Source organism: Homo sapiens, chromosome 18, assembly GCF_000001405.40.
Source record: "Homo sapiens chromosome 18, GRCh38.p14 Primary Assembly".
NCBI lineage: Eukaryota > Metazoa > Chordata > Mammalia > Primates > Hominidae > Homo > Homo sapiens.
Window position 1 is genome coordinate 80,067,256 of NC_000018.10, and position 15,327 is coordinate 80,082,582.

General features: G+C 51.6%; 1 long non-coding RNA gene and 1 pseudogene across 1 annotated transcript; both read left to right on the top strand.

The window, feature by feature from the left end:
• RBFADN (RBFA downstream neighbor) lies at positions 1-14,049 on the top strand. The gene is made up of 4 exons (NR_103445.2): positions 1-53; positions 2,543-2,651; positions 12,432-12,553; positions 13,526-14,049. It is a non-coding gene; the product is annotated as an RBFA downstream neighbor (long non-coding RNA).
• On the top strand, positions 10,452-10,994 carry SLC25A6P4 (solute carrier family 25 member 6 pseudogene 4; annotated as a pseudogene).
• Positions 14,050-15,327: the final 1,278 nt, after the last annotated feature.

Sequence of the window (15,327 nt, forward strand, 5' to 3'; positions counted from 1 at the left end):
CGTTCCTGCCCCAGAACTCAGTTGGGGGCTCGGAGCAGGAGAAGCTGCACACGGTGAGTGTGTGGGGCGCAGAAGCCCGTCTGCAGAGGTTCCACACCATGCAGAAAGTGGCCAGTGAAAGACAAGGAGGTGTTCCCGGGAGTGGAAGGGCTGGGGCCTGGAGAAAGGGGAGATGGGAGGAGTTGGGGGCTACAGAGGACACCACCCCTGGAGCTGGCAAGCATGGCAGGAAGGGGAGAGTTGAGCCGAGAAGGGCGGCCAGGGCAAGACGATGACCTGGAGTGGGGGCCCCAGAGGTCCTGCTCAGGGGCCTGCAGACCAGTATGCCTGGAAGATTCTGCAGGCCGATTATGAGGCCCACCAAGGTAGGCAGCCCCCTTCCAGGGCCGTCCTTCAAGCTTGGTAACTGTGTGGGAACAAACAAGACCTGTTGGGTGTCCAGTTCTGCTCTTGCTGCAATTCTGAAAGTCGACCATTTAAAGACTGTTATATAAACATAATCTTTTAATGAGAAATACTTCCCTTGTATTGTTTTTTTGAACTCTTGACTTAGTGTAGTATAGGATCTGGAAATAAGAAAACTGGATATCTCGGAAGAGAAATATAACAGCTTGTCTGTTTTCTTCTATTGCACAACTTAAATATGCTACAGTTAAGTGGGTCAAAATCTACCTGGAGGTGAAAGCTGGGTGGATGGGGGTCCATTCCTCTGTGAACTGGGGATGGCAACGCAGTCTCCAAAGGGTAAGAGCAAACGGACAGGCCTGGAGGGCGCAGCTCAGATGCACCCGTTGGCAAATGGACAGGCCTGGAGGGCGCAGCTCAGATGCACCCGTTGGCAAATGGACAGGCCTGGAGGACCCAGCTCAGATGCGCCCGTTGGCAAACGGACAGGCCTGGAGGGTGCAGCTCAGATGTACCTGTTGGGCTTTGGCTGTTTTTGTTGCACACAAAGGTCTGGGAGGAGCACAGAACCCTCCCTGAGGATGAGATTATGGAGGTTGTAGCGTTGAGGAGGTTCAGGTGCTGCCTTATATACTTTTATGTAGTGTGAATTTTTCAAGAAAGGTATTGTTTTTGTAATGTAAGAAAAGATTCCATATTGAGGAGAGTAAGTAGATCTGACAGGTGTGCAGCCTTAGGCATTAGTTATTAAATACATATTCATTTAATTAAAACTCAAAAATTTAAATGTTTTCCTCCTCATTAGAATATGCCATTCCAAAATATCACCATATTATTCTATCTCCCAAGAACTCTGTCCTCAGTATGGCTCCCGGTAGAATGAGGGTGAGACGTTGAAATGTGGACGTATCATCACTATAAAAGTTACATGTGGCAAATGTAGTTTCTAATCCCTGCTTTTCTTTCATTTTCTTAGTTATTAGCATCATTCTCCCTGATGCTTCTCGATCACAGAAGTGGCCACTGTCTTACTGGATTAGGCTCTAATCCCCATGCCCTTGGCCAAGTCAGATTTACCCTTCGAGTTCACTGTTGCCTGTTGGGATGGCCCTGCCCTGGATCTGTGGAATGAGCAGCCGCTCCTGTTTGCACCAACTGAAATCCTCTCTTCTGCTTGAAATTTTTGGTAGCCTTGCTGGCAGCTCAGAATGAGGCTCAGTTAGGACGGGGAGCTCATGAACCCCAGGGTGCAAGTACTGGATGTGGTCCTAACTAGCAAGGGCTCCAGAAAGGGACACAGTGAAAGAAAAGGAAAAGGAGTTATTTTTCTGCTATTGGAGAGGTGACAAATAACATGTTTGAAAGCAGCGTTGTTGTGACATGCCCTTCTGCATTGCTGGCGGGTGGGGTGTCCTCCCTAGGGGAGTGGCCCGTGGTGTCTGCTGGAATCCCAAACACATTCGCCCTTTGACCCAGCCATACCCTTGTGGGGACTTACCCTGCACCCTATTCTCTGCGGGAACACAATGGGAATGAGGAAAAGTCACGGTTGTAACCAGAGCAGTATTGTGAAGATGAACCTTTTAAACAAAATTCTAAAATATTAAAATCAATATGAATACTCTGTAACTTCAGAGAATCAGGTCTGGAATAATAATATTAATAAGAGCGAATATCTAGTAAGGGCTGAATTCCCTGGGTGCCCAATATGGACTTAGTTGTGTCCCACTCAGCTAGATAGGCCCAGTACAGGAAATTTCTTTCTTTCAGAGCCTTTTAAACATCAGAATGGCATGTTTTTCTTAAATGGGCAGATCCTTCTATTCTCAAATTGCAAAGCAAAATGTAGATGGAATGAAAAATCTGTAAGGGGGGCAAACAGCATTCTGGTCATACCTCTTTTATTTTCATTTTTATTTTTATAACTATTGTTTTTATTAGAGACAGGGTCTCTCTGTGTTGCCCAGGCTGATCTTCAATTCCTGGCCTTAAGCAATCCACCCGCCTCAGCCTCTCAAAGTGCTGGGATTACAGGCGTGAGTCCCCGCACCCAGACTGTCTCTTTTATTTTGAATGCTAGGTTAGGGTGGCATTTGTAAATACCATGGTAAATTCCTTTCTCTTTTTCTCTTTCAAGGTGGATGAAGACCTGATCATTGAAGTTCACCAGTTATTTTTCTCAAGAATGTGAATAACAATGGGATTTGCACTCATTATATTTTTAGAATGGCTTCGCATAATTTTCAGTGAGTACTTTGGACTGTTCGTATATCGACTCTTTGCCTTAACAGCTTGGTTTGACTTAAGCCTACACTGGGTTTTTCTTTGATTTTGCTTGGGAATGGTTTGATAAAGGAAAATGGATGATTGTATAAAATAAAACTCAACATGGAATAAATAGTAACTAGAAGTGAGCAAAATACTTCTATAGAAATAAACATCTTAAGATGACTTTTTAAAAAATTATCAAGAGTATCATAAAATATAGCAGTACATTAGATAATTTGGGATAGTTTTTCTATGAACCCATGATTACGTAAAATTCTTGAAACCTCTAAAGAAATGTCCTATTTTTAGGTTGGGCGTGGTGGCTCACGTCTGAAATCCCAGCACTGTGGGAGGCAGAGGCGGGCAGATCACGAGGTCAGGAGTTCGAGACCAGCCTGACCAACATGGTGAAACCCCGTCTCTACTAAAAATACAAAAATTAGCCAGGTGTGGTGGTGGGTGCCTGTAATCCCAGCTACTCAGGAGGCTGAGGCAGGAGAATTGTTTGAACCCAGGAGGCGGAGGTTGCAGTGAGCCAAGATCATGCCACTGCACTCCAGCCTGGGTAACAGAGTGAGACTCTGTCTCAAAAAAATAAAAATAAATAAAAATAAACAAATTAATTAATTTTAAAAAAGAAATGACCTATTTGGAAACCAAATTTTCTTTTTGGAAGGCCCCCATTTTGTGTTCAGTGAAAAATTAGTTGGCAAGACATGGACTTCTAATCAAGTTATTTTTGTAGTTGTGCTCAGAATATCTGTGGAATATTAGCTGACGCAGAGTAGATTTTTCACGTTAGATATTGGAATAAAGAGAGTTGCTCCTTATCACAAATGTATCATGTTTCTCTATCGGCATCACATTGTGCTAAACCCACTATTGTGTTAAATATATAAACTTTGTTGTCTTTTTTTTATAACTCAAATACTTCAAAAGGACAGCTCTAGAGAAGGTAAAATTTCACAAGACTAAACCTTGGGATACCCAAGGTATTACAATACAAAGCCTTACATTTACATGGAAAAGCAAGAAGTCTGGACTGAAAGCTCTGAATATATCACCAACAACAGCACCACTGTAGGTGGATCCAGGGTTTGCAGCTTTGATCTTGAGGTGAGGGGGCAGCCAGTCATGGACGAAGCCTGCATTTGCCTTCATCGCTGCCATGCCAGCCTCAGGTGGTCACTCCCAGGAGGGTGCATGGTGCTACCTGGACCACTGTGCACACTTGCTGGTCACCCCCCGGGAGGGCTCACTGTGCACACCTGCTGGTCACCCCCCGGGAGGGTTCCCTGTGCACACCTGCTGGTCGCCCCTGGGAGGGTTCCCTGTGCACACCTGCTGGTCACCCCCCGGGAGGGTTCGCTGTGCACACCTGTTGGTCGCCCCTGGGAGGGTTCCCTGTGCACACCTGCTGGTCGCCCCTGGGAGGGTTCCCTGTGCACACCTGCTGGTCACCCCTGGGAGGGTTCCCTGTGCACACCTGCTGGTCGGCCCCCGGGAGGGTTCCCTGTGCACACCTGCTGGTCGCCCCTGGGAGGGTTCCCTGTGCACACCTGCTGGTCACCCCCCGGGAGGGTTCCCTGTGCACACCTGCTGGTCACCCCCCGGGAGGGTTCCCTGTGCACACCTGCTGGTCGCCCCTGGGAGGGTTCCCTGTGCACACCTGCTGGTCACCCCTGGGAGGGTTCCCTGTGCACACCTGCTGGTCGGCCCCCGGGAGGGTTCCCTGTGCACACCTGCTGGTCGCCCCTGGGAGGGTTCCCTGTGCACACCTGCTGGTCACCCCCCGGGAGGGTTCCCTGTGCACACCTGCTGGTCACCCCCCGGGAGGGTTCCCTGTGCACACCTGCTGGTCGCCCCTGGGAGGGTTCCCTGTGCACACCTGCTGGTCACCCCTGGGAGGGTTCCCTGTGCACACCTGCTGGTCGGCCCCCGGGAGGGTTCCCTGTGCACACCTGCTGGTCGCCCCTGGGAGGGTTCCCTGTGCACACCTGCTGGTCACCCCCCGGGAGGGTTCCCTGTGCACACCTGCTGGTCACCCCCCGGGAGGGTTCCCTGTGCACACCTGCTGGTCGCCCCTGGGAGGGTTCCCTGTGCACACCTGCTGGTCACCCCTGGGAGGGTTCCCTGTGCACACCTGCTGGTCACCCCCCGGGAGGGTTCCCTGTGCACACCTGCTGGTCACCTCCCGGGAGGGTTCCCTGTGCACACCTGTTGGTCGCCCCCGGGAGGGTTCCCTGTGCACACCTGCTGGTCGCCCCCGGGAGGGTTCCCTGTGCACACCTGCTGGTCGGCCCCCGGGAGGGTTCCCTGTGCACACCTGCTGGTCGGCCCCCGGGAGGGTTCCCTGTGCACACCTGCTGGTCACCCCCCGGGAGGGTTCCCTGTGCACACCTGCTGGTCGCCCCTGGGAGGGTTCCCTGTGCACACCTGCTGGTCACCCCTGGGAGGGTTCCCTGTGCACACCTGCTGGTCGGCCCCCGGGAGGGTTCCCTGTGCACACCTGCTGGTCACCCCCCGGGAGGGTTCCCTGTGCACACCTGCTGGTCACCCCCCGGGAGGGTTCCCTGTGCACACCTGCTGGTCACCCCCCGGGAGGGTTCCCTGTGCACACCTGCTGGTCGCCCCTGGGAGGGTTCCCTGTGCACACCTGCTGGTCACCCCTGGGAGGGTTCCCTGTGCACACCTGCTGGTCACCCCCCGGGAGGGTTCCCTGTGCACACCTGCTGGTCACCTCCCGGGAGGGTTCCCTGTGCACACCTGTTGGTCGCCCCCGGGAGGGTTCCCTGTGCACACCTGCTGGTCGCCCCCGGGAGGGTTCCCTGTGCACACCTGCTGGTCGGCCCCCGGGAGGGTTCCCTGTGCACACCTGCTGGTCACCCCCCGGGAGGGTTCCCTGTGCACACCTGCTGGTCACCCCCCGGGAGGGTTCCCTGTGCACACCTGCTGGTCGGCCCCCGGGAGGGTTCCCTGTGCACACCTGCTGGTCACCTCCCAGGAGGGTTCGCTGTGCACACCTGTTGGTCGCCCCCGGGAGGGTTCGCTGTGCACACCTGTTGGTCGCCCCTGGGAGGGTTCCCTGTGCACACCTGCTGGTCGCCCCTGGGAGGGTTCCCTGTGCACACCTGCTGGTCGCCCCTGGGAGGGTTCCCTGTGCACACCTGCTGGTCGCCCCTGGGAGGGTTCCCTGTGCACACCTGCTGGTCGCCCCTGGGAGGGTTCCCTGTGCACACCTGCTGGTCGCCCCCCCGCCCCCCACCCCCCACCAGAGCTCGTTGTGCACACCTTGCTGGTCACCCCCCGGGAGGGTTCCCTGTGCACACCTGCTGGTCGCCCCTGGGAGGGTTCCCTGTGCACACCTGCTGGTCGCCCCGGGAGGGTTCCCTGTGCACACCTGCTGGTCGCCCCCGGGAGGGTTCGCTGTGCACACCTGCTGGTCGCCTCCCGGGAGGGTTCCCTGTGCACACCTGCTGGTCACCCCCCGGGAGGGTTCCCTGTGCACACCTGCTGGTCGCCCCTGGGAGGGTTCCCTGTGCAGACCTGCTGGTCGCCCCCGGGAGGGTTCGCTGTGCACATCTGCTGGTCGCCTCCCGGGAGGGTTCCCTGTGCACACCTGCTGGTCACCCCCCGGGAGGGTTCCCTGTGCTGCCTGGGCTGCTGTGCTGCCTACACCACTGTGCAAGCCTGCAGGCCGGCGCCCAGCAGCAAGACCCTGCTCACCTACCCTGAGTGCTGTTCTGCTTGCCAACAGATTTGAGGGATGTTCTGCAGACTCTGGGCTGTTGAGAAGTTTGTGATCCAATGACAGATGTCCCATTTATGGATCCAGTTGGACATTTTTGTGGACTGGCTTTAAGGTTTCAGAACACATTAAATACTGCCTCCCCAAAGTTGAAACTAACTTTCAGGGCTGGGAGTAGCCTTACATCCTAGCCACCCTTCTTCGTACAGAAAGCAATCCCAAGTGGCCCTGAAGCAGGCTAGTGCCGAGTGTAAGGAGAGCCCGGGGCCTGTGTGCCTCACCTTTGGCATGAGTGAGGCTCTGTGCACGTAAGAAAGACCCTGTGGACCTGTCCGGGAGGACCTGGGTGCCAGCAGGGATGGCCAGGGTGCTGTGGGATCACTGTTGCTGCCAGCTAGTCTCTCAGAGTAAAATGGGAAAAACCCCATGACAGGGATTGGAGCTGGTACTTTTGTTGTTGTTCAAGACAGGGTCTGGCTCTGTCACCCGGATTGAAGTGCAGTGGTGCAATCATGGCTCACTGCAGCTTTGACCTCCTGGGCTCAATTAGTCCTCTCACCTCAGCCTCCCAAGTAGCTGGGACTACAGGTGCGCACCACCATGCCCTGCTAACTTTTTTTTTTTTTTTAAGAAATGGGGTCTTGCTGTGTTGCCCAGGCTGGTCTCCAACTCCTGGCCTCAAGTGATCCTCCCACCTCGGCCTCCCACAGCGCTGGGACTACAGGAGTGAGCTGTGGCGCCCAGCCTGGAGCTGCTGCTGATGGGAACACACTGCTCCTGTCTCCTTTAAGATGGGCTGAAGGGGAAATGGTAGCTCATGTAATTTTCTCGGCATTGGAGGCTGATGTCTGTTGTCACAGAAGTGTGGGGGATTTTGTACATAGGTGTTCTTTATTTTGAAGTGGTCCCAAATGTGGAGCGTTGCCTAGGGGTTCCCAAGTGAGCATTACGTGAGGGCTGTGCTCTGATATTTCTCAGTGAAAACTTGTTCATTAAGATCATTACTGGAATGAAGTAAGTACGTGTGGAAGTTTTGTGTCTGACTGTTTGGGGAGAGTATCACTAAAATTAGGCGTTTTGTGATGTAGACTCTGTGTAAACAAGGACATTGTCATGAGTATCTCCCAGTAACACACTGCAGCCTACCGTGGCTTTTGGTTAGCATTCCTGAGTGGAAACATCTTTGAACTACACAGATGCTGCTCCACTTACGATGGCAATGGCCTCTACGCTGACAGGACCCCCTTGTGAGAGGGGCATTACTGAATGCAGATGGCTTTCACGCTCTAGTACAGTTGACCCGTTGTGAGTCAGGCCATTGTGAGTCGGGCCTGTGTGCTGTGCTGTGTCCTCAGTTCTGGGTCCACTCTGCTGTGTGTGATTCCAGAGTCCCAGAGCACAGGGTCCCAGAGCACAGAGTCCCAGAGCAGTGAGTCCCAGAGCACAGGGTCCCAGAGCACAGAGTCCCAGAGCAGTGAGTCCCAGAGCACAGGGTCCCAGAGCACAGAGTCCCAGAGCAGTGAGTCCCAGAGCACAGGGTCCCAGAGCACAGAGTCCCAGAGCAGTGAGTCCCAGAGCACAGGGTCCCAGAGCACAGAGTCCCAGAGCATAGGGTCCCAGAGCACAGGGTCCCAGAGCACAGAGTCCCAGAGCACAGGGTCCCAGAGCACAGAGTCCCAGAGCACAGGGTCCCAGAGCACAGGGTCCCAGAGCACAGAATCCCAGAGCACAGGGTCCCAGAGCACAGGGTCCCAGAGCACAGAATCCCAGAGCACAGGGTCCCAGAGCACAGAATCCCAGAGCACAGAATCCCAGAGCACAGGGTCCCAGAGCACAGAATCCCAGAGCACAGGGTCCCAGAGCACAGAATCCCAGAGCACAGGGTCCCAGAGCACAGAATCCCAGAGCACAGGGTCCCAGAGCACAGGGTCCCAGAGCACAGAATCCCAGAGCACAGGGTCCCAGAGCACAGGGTCCCAGAGCACAGGGTCCCAGAGCACAGGGTCCCAGAGCACAGAATCCCAGAGCACAGGGTCCCAGAGCACAGAATCCCAGAGCACAGGGTCCCAGAGCACAGGGTCCCAGAGCACAGAATCCCAGAGCACAGGGTCCCAGAGCACAGAATCCCAGAGCACAGGGTCCCAGAGCACAGAATCCCAGAGCACAGGGTCCCAGAGCACAGAATCCCAGAGCACAGGGTCCCAGAGCACAGAATCCCAGAGCACAGGGTCCCAGAGCACAGGGTCCCAGAGCACAGAATCCCAGAGCACAGGGTCCCAGAGCACAGGGTCCCAGAGCACAGGGTCCCAGAGCACTGCACTCCTCCTCTGCTTTGTCGAGCAGCGGCTGCCTCCCTCCTTTTCTGATGGAATGCTCTAGAGCAGGGGTTCCTAACCAAGGACTGCTACCCGTCCATGGCCTGTTAGGAACTGGGCTGCACAGCAGAAGGTGAGCAGTGGGAGAGTGAGCAAAGCTTCCTCTGTATTTACAGCCACTCCCCTTCGCTGGTGATACTGCCTGAGCTCTGCCTCCTGTCATATCTGTGGTGCAGTAGGTTCTCAGAGGAGCACGAACCCTATCGTGAACTGTGCCTGCGAGGATCTAGGTTGCACACTCCTTATGAGAATCTAATGCCTGATGATCTGTCACTGTCTCCCATCACCCCAAGATGGGACCATCTAGTTTCAGGAAAACAAATTCACGGGTCCCACTGATTCTATGTAATGGTGAGTTGTATAATTATTTTATTATATATTATAATGTAATAACAAAGACATAAAGTGTACAATAAATGAATGCACTTGAATCACCCCAAAACCGTCCCCCTGCCCCTGCTGTCGGTGAAAAAATTGTCCTCCACAAAACCCGTCTCTGGTGCCAAAGAGGCTGGGACCCGCTGCTCAGGAGGTTCCTCCCTGTCTTCCTCAGTCCGGCAGCCCGGCCTTCATGTGACTGTGACTGCTCTTTACGTGTGGAAGCTCGGTAATAAGAATGTCAACAGAAAAGACTCCAAGGTTAAGTTGATCATACTTGGGCTTCTGTCTCGGTCTGTTTATGCTTTTATAATAAAATATCTGAGACTGGATAACTTACAAACAACATCAATTTATTTCTCACAGTTCTGGAGGCTGGAAGACCAAGATCAGGGCCCTGCAGCTCTGAGGTCTGGGGAGGGCTGCTCTCTGCCTCCAGGATGGCCCCTTGTTGCTGTGTCCTCACGTGGTGGAAGGTGGAAGGGAAAAAGGGCCTGCCTAGTTCCCGCCAGCCCTTTCATAAAGTCACAAATCCCATTCCTGAAGGCTCTGCCCTTGTGACTCAGTCACCCCTAAGGGCCCCACCTCTTAATACTATCACATTGCTAATCACATTTCAACACATGAATCTGGGGAGACATTTGGACCATAGCGGCATTTGTTGCTTATAGAAGTGTGTTCTGAAAAAACGAAAAATGATTTTGACACAAACCAATACTTTTGAAATATTCTAATGTTTATTTGGAATATGCCTCTTAAAGAAAACTGAAGGGCCTGGTGTGGTGGCTCATGCCTGTAATCCGAGCACTTTGGGAGGCTGAGGCAGAGGATTGCTTGAGGTCAGGAGTTGGCCACCAGCCGAGGCAACATAGCAAAACCCAATCTCCAAAAAAAAAAAAAAAAAAAAAAATTAGCTGGGCCTGGTGGCAGGGACCTATAGTCCCAGCTATTTGGGAGGCTGAGGCAGGAGAATTGCTTGAGTCCCAGAGTTCGAGGCAACAGTGAGCTGTGATTGTGCCACTGTATTCCGGCCTGGGCGACAACAACCCTGTCTCTAAAAAACAAACAAAAAGCCTGAAATGTTTAGCTTTTCGTTGATTTTCATGGTTTTTTCTGGCGACCTCAGACCTTCTCCTTTGTCATGAGGGGAGATTTTCCTGATTTTCCTGGTGTGGTGTTCCCGGGGCTTTGTGCTTCCTTTGAGTGGCCTGGGTGTCCCTGGTTCTTGGTTACTAGGGATCAAGGATTCTTTCACTGGCTCACTTGTGAGCTGTTCCCTGGGGGGCATGGACAGGCACACACGGCTCTGGAGGTACCTGGTGGGCAGCCTGGCCTCCGGCGGCCGGTGCCACCTTCCTTTGCTTCCTGTACCCCCTGGATTTCGCCAGACCTGCCTGGCAGCCGATGTCGGGAAGTTGGGCACAGAGCTGAGTTCTGAGGCCTGGGACACTGCCTGGTGAAGGTCACCAAGTCCGACGGGCTCCAGGGCCTCCAGGGCTTCAGCATCTCCATGCAGGACACCATCACCTACCGGCCGCCGACCCCAGCATGAAGAATTCAGCCAAGGGCGAGCTCCCGGATGCCAAGAGCCCGTGGTGGGAGATGGACGACCACCGTGGCTGCAGCTCCCACCCCTTCCACGCGGTGTGGCAGACGATGGTGCAGCCTGGGCTCAGAGCAGCTCACATCACGTACACGGCACCCTCGGCTGTTGGGGAAAGACCGTTAAAGATGAGGAGACAAGGCCTTCTTCCAGGGCGCTGGGCCGGCGTCCTCAGGCCTGGGGGCCCCTCTCGCTGGTCCTGTGTGAGGAGCTGAAAGGTCATCTAAGGGCCCTGGCCTCCTCCAGACACCAAGGGAACCAAGAGAACCACACAGAATCCTCAACTGTGCAGACCATTGACCTTCGAGAAATTCCAGTCATCTTTTTCCCGGTGGATCCTGCCTGTAGAGGGCTGGGAAAGGCTCTAGAAAAGGGATGTCTCGTGATCCAACTGTGGCTTCGGTTCCATATCTTGATCACCTCAGGGCGGGAACCCAGGGGTCCTTGTGGGCCCACGGGAGGGGCACTCCGCTACTCAGACCTAGAGTCTGGATGCTTGTAGGACCTGGGCAATGTTTAAGTTTTTACTTAAAACAAAAGAATCGTGTTTCCCGTCTGTACTTAGGCACTAACTGCTCTTTGGCACCACCGAGTACTTGCAATTATGTTCTACGTTGGGGGTCTGCCACAGAACAGTAAAAACAGGATGTAGAACACCAGAAAATAAAAACAATGGAGTCGTCCAACAGTGGAGTTACTAGGACAGGACAAAGAAATTGAGTACAGGGGCCCTTGCTGGCTGTGAAAGAGTTGGTGAAGTGGAGAAGGAAGGAAGGAGAAGGAAGGAAGGCACCCACACTGCACCCCACCAGGGGGTCTTCCAAGGCTGGCCTCACCGATTTCCTCTGTACCTTGAGAGTGAAGGCAGCTAATGCCCAAGGGCACACTCAGCTCTTTCAACAGCGAGAGCAAGGCTCTGGGGTTTTTAAGTGGACACTGGGATGCACGGTTATCATTTACTTAGCTGGAGAGAGGAAGAAAGCCCATGATTTTGGTCTGATGTGGTCGGCTGGCCCAGCAGGTATCAGAGCTGACACAGAAATAGGGATTCATTCTCAGCCATGGGCTGCTCTTTGTACCACACCCTTCGGAGTGTTCCCCAGCCCCTCAGGCAGCTATCAAGGGACAGCGGATCCCAGAATGGGTAGAGTAGCCCTGACCCAAAACCACACATGGACAAAACAGAGTCGGTTTATACTTATTGGTGAGCACTAGCAGTGTACCAGGGCAAGGCCAGACAACACTTTTGCTTCTAATTTTATAATTTAGCATTAAAGAACAGTAAAACCAAAGAGAAGGATAGGAGAAAATCACTGAGGAAGTGAAAAGAAGTGAGAGTCCACATAAGAGAAACCTCACATTGCATCACACAAACGAGGCTGCGCATAAAATATGTGAGGGTGGACAGAGGTACAGGGAAACCGTTTCTATCTTAAAAGTTAAGTGCATGTTTGAAAAATGGCAAGCATTCTGCTTTTTTAGGAAAAGAAGTAAAATTTATTAAAAATATGACAATTATGATAAGGGACAAGTTCTGAATTAGGTATTATACAGTTTTGCCTTGTTTTCCATGCAAAATATATACTTTGAATTTTTGTGAATTACTAGCTTCACAAGTTCCCGGCCCTCATTTCACGTTCATCTTCGTTGGCAGTGCATCCTGTGGACGATGAACACAAATGCAGCTGTGGCCGTGCCTGGCCTGTGTGTGTTGAACGCGTTCCTGCCGTGCGGGAGCCACCTACCCAGCGGAGCCTCAGAGTCTGAGTTCTCAATGTGAGCCTCATTTTATTTTATTTTAAAATGCAGTTGTAAACTTTCCCCTTAAACAATTCAGAAAGCAGCAGTCTTATGTGGTCTTTTAGAAAACAAACTCAAATGGAAGAGTGTCCTTGTATATTAATGAACAAAATTTACTTCTGAATGTGAGTTTGTTTTTGGTGCTTGGAACCAGCACTTCATGGAAGAGAACAGCAAAAAGTGAGCAGCAGAGAGATGGTGGTCCAAGGAGTTAAAAGTTATTTTAATCACAGCGGGCAACTTGGGAAGAGTTTCATGGTGTCAGAAGTCTATATGACAGGAAGGGAAGAGAGTACCTCAAAGGAGGAAGGAAGGAGAGAAGATGTGGTAGGTGAAGTTGTAATGTGATTTAATGATGGCTGAGAACTTGTACAAAACCCAGAAAATGAAGATAAATTAGATATGAAGGAAGAAAAAGGTCAAAGATGAGATTGTAAAACTGTGATACAGACTGGCTGAAATTGGAGTTTGGGTCTTAACTGCCCCTCCAAATCCCTCCTCCAGTTTGTGTGAGTGTTTGTCAGGAGCCCGGTTTTTGCTCTGCCTTGCCTGGCCACACCGGGCCCTGTTTTGGTGCTGAAGTCTGGTGTTGGAAGGCTGCGGCACTCATAGGGTAAGACCCCTGTCTCCCAATTTCCTTCGTCTCTCTGAGCTGCAATTTCCTCATCTGTAGAATGAGACAATGACAGATCTTGGATCAGTTGAGCAATTTGTTTCTCAGATTGTTCAATTGAAGAATTTGTTCCTAGATATTTGTACTAAAACATACTAAAACTAAAGTGAGAACATCATATTAGTTAACAGGAAATCGTTCTGACATACGCAGTAAAAGGGAATCGGAAGCATCATTTCCAAATTGCACCACACATTCAGCCAAAATTGGAGTCCGCCGTCTTGCGATGAACGCCTCCCATGGTCTCGCACTTCGCTTTGTGTTTGTTCCCACAGGAGTCAACATTTTGGGTGTGTATGCCAAGAGGTGACACGAAACAGAAGTTGGGATCACTGTGGTTAACCTGAGCATGTTGGAGACCAAGGAGAGGCTGATGTTAATGTTGGATTTTTGTGAAAATGATTCCTTTCAAAGAAAGACCTGTGACAGTTGGTAATTGCAGCTAATGTGTTTCCACAAACAGCCATTTTGTGTTGGCAATCACACCGTCCACCATCAGGGTTGCTGACAGGAGCAGTGTTCAGGAGTCTCAGACAGTGGATTGTGCTGCTTCAGGCGCCTGGTGGCTGGAGGGTTTGCAGGCTGCCAGGGGCCTCAGCTGAAGACCTGGACCCACAGGACCCACAGAGGCAAATTGTTCAGTTGACTGTACAGTGTGAGAATGAAACATTAATTCCCCTTCTCTACCTCATATGAGAAATGTGAATTGTCTTTTTTAAATTTGGGAATCTGGGTTATAGTATGTGTGAGTCAATTTTTTCAACAATGACTTTTTTTTTGGCTCAAAATGTTTTATTTTGTTTTGTTTTGTTTTGTTTTGTTTTGTGGTAGAGGTGACGTCTTGCTTGCTATGTTGCCCAGGCTGGTCTCAAACTGCTGGACTCGAGAAATCCCCCTTCCTTGGCCTCCCAAAATGCTGAGCCTACAGGTGTATTCACCTTAAAAAAAATTTAAAGACCACTAGGAGGTCAGCAATCTCAAATGTTTCACTAGTTCTTCATCAAGGTGGGAATGAATCTGATTAAAACAACTTAGAAGACTTTATTCTGGAGAACCAGAGAAAACAGGAGGGAATCACCAGAAACACGAAGGAAATCTGAGTGTAGCTGGGATGAGGCATAGCACAGGCGGCTCTGCCCCTGGACACCAGGTTGTGTGGGACTGGAGGGCGCTGGCTGTTTTCTGTGGGCCCTCCTTGTCACTTTGCTTCTCTGTGGAGCAAAATGGAGGCAGATGCAGTTGATTCTCGTGATTTGCCACAGTTAGTTCTATAAAGTCACCTGAACACTGAATTCGTGGATACAGAGCCCTTGCTTCTGGAGAAATACAGGGCTAGGTTCCTGCGAGCTTCTGGTCACATTTTCATCAACCAATCAATACATAACCTTGCTTATGCATGTTCCTGTTTAAAGACACCTTTTTGAATAGACATTGGTGATCCCATTAACACTGAGTCCATGGCCAACAGCACTGGAACTCACACCTGAGTAAAGCTATCTCACATTTCTCTGTGAGGCACATCACAGCCTCTTGCTCTTAGGACGCTAGACAGTACATCAGTACTGGGCTTGGGGTCATTTTAAACAGCAAAATCACTAACAAAAATCACAGAAATGTGAAGAATATGGCGCTATGTGGGCCGTGAAAAGAGCACTTGTTGGTGGCATGAGCTGAAATGAAATGGTGGGGCGTCACCTGTGTGACCTCAGCCAGGCCCATGGCCTGTGGCTGACTCTGGGGTGGCACCGTGCTGGCAGGTGGGGCACACTCAAAGATGAGCTGTTATTATCAAAGGGTGTGAAATTTCCAGACAACCACTGACTTGATGAATCCTCTTGGGCACCAGAGCGTGTGCTGCATCTGAGATGCTGGCTGGGGAGCCCAGGCAGTCGACGGGAGAGGAGCGCTCACTGTCTTACTGGAAACAAGCTGTTTGGAGAACAACCTGTTTTTACTCTCCTTTTGCAAGCAAAACACTCCCACTGAGGTAAGGCTGCACGGGCAACACTGACTGAGCTCTGCCTTTCTAAATCTGTTTGTTCTCTTGACCTCGAGCTTGTCCCAGGCTGTTTCTGCT